Source organism: Homo sapiens, chromosome 13 (assembly GCF_000001405.40).
Source record: "Homo sapiens chromosome 13, GRCh38.p14 Primary Assembly".
Taxonomy (NCBI): domain Eukaryota; kingdom Metazoa; phylum Chordata; class Mammalia; order Primates; family Hominidae; genus Homo; species Homo sapiens.
The window spans coordinates 21,205,022-21,206,917 of NC_000013.11; the positions used below are offsets into that span (position 1 = coordinate 21,205,022).

Consider the following 1,896-nt stretch of genomic DNA (forward strand, 5'->3'; position numbering starts at 1 on the left):
TCATCTCAGAGAAAAGATCAAATCATGAAGTTACACAGAAAAAGGAATGGATCAGAATGTTCCCGTGTTGTGCTTGGTGCTGGTTCCTGAGGTTAATAGTTAAATTGTCTTTTAAAGCCATTTCCTTTCTTCTCCCTATTTTTAACTAATTCCATCCAACCATCTAGCTCAGACTCAGGACTGTTAACCTGGAAAAGAGGGGAAATGCAGAGGTCTCCTTGGTAACTATGTCTGTTCCCGGGCTGGAGCTGCTACCTCCGGTGGATCTGAGCAGAGTGCTTCTGAATCACTCTTATTGCTCAGCTCCCAGCAGCTTTGCCTGGGGGCATCAAGAAAGGTTTAGAAAGATGAGCACCAAACACCCCTATGTTGAGAGGACTATCTATGCCTTGGTGACACAGCCCTGCTTCTCCCTCAGGATTTTAAAATTTGCTCCTATCTGTTGCAAATCTGCCTTTCTTTCTACTGTATCCTCAAATCTATACTTAGATCATCAGAAACATTTTTTTGAAATAAAATAGCACCCTTTAACCCAGAAATTCCCACCTGGGAATCTGGCCCAAACAAATTAATTCACAAGATAATAAAAGCTGTATGCATGAAGATGTTCATTGCAGAATTTTTTATACCTGTGACAGAGACAGGTTAAATGACAGGAAGATGATTATGTGAATTGTGGTATATCCAGGCAATATATTATTACATTCAACAAAAGTATAACTAACACTGTGGCAACAGAGAACAACATGTCTTACAATCTTAAGTTTTAAAAGAATACACGATTGTAGCAAGTAAACGATATAGGCCGGGCGTGGTGGCTCATGCCTGTAATCCCAGCACTTTGGGAGGCCAAGGTGGGCAGATCACCTGAGGTCAGGAGTTCGAGACCAGCCTGGCCAACATGGTGAATCCCCGTCTCTATTAAAAATACAAAAATCAGCTGGGCGTGGTGGCGGGAGCCTGTAATCCCAGCTACTTGGGAGGCTGAGGTAGGAGAATCGCTTGAAACCAGGAGGCAGAGGTTGCAGTGAGCCAAGATTGTGCCATTGCACTCCAGCCGGGCCAACAAAGAGCAAAACTTCATCTCAATTAAAAAAAAAGAAATATATATATGTGTGTATCTGTATACATATATATGTATCTATATGTGTATACATATAGATACATATATGTACATGTGTATACGTAAATATGTGTAAATGTACATACATGTATACGCACACATATGTATATGTGCGTATACATACGTGTATACGCACACATATGTATATGTGCGTATACATACGTGTATACGCACACATATGTATATGTGCGTATACATACGTGTATACGCACACATATGTATATGTGCATACATACGTGTATACGCACACATATGTATATGTGCATACATACGTGTATACGCACACATATGTATATGTGCATACATACGTGTATACGCACACATGTATATGTGCATACATACGTGTATACGCACACATGTATATGTGCATACATACGTGTATACGCACATATATGTATATGTGCATACATACGTGTATACGCACATATATGTATATGTGCATACATACGTGTATACGCACATATATGTATATGTGTATACGTATATGTATATGTATATGTGTATACGTATATGTGTATATGTATATGTGTATACGTATACGTATATGTATATGTGTATACGTATACGTATATGTATATGTATATGTGTATATGTGTATATGTATATGTGTATGTGTATATGTGTATACATATATGTATATGTGTATGTGTATATGTGTATACATATATGTATATGTGTGTGTATATGTGTATACATATATGTATATGTGTATGTGTATATGTGTATACGTATGTGTATACGTGTATACGTATGTGTATACGTGTATACGTATG

The 1,896-nt window shown here is 37.7% G+C and overlaps 1 annotated feature.

Moving 5' to 3' along the window:
• Positions 1,149 to 1,672: an enhancer, noted in NCBI's record as "OCT4 hESC enhancer chr13:21780309-21780832 (GRCh37/hg19 assembly coordinates)". NCBI's record gives its function as "activates a minimal SCP1, AML or CMV promoter by ChIP-STARR-seq in naive H9 embryonic stem cells {active_cell/tissue: H9 hESC(naive)}" and the evidence as "EXISTENCE:reporter gene assay evidence [ECO:0000049][PMID:30033119]".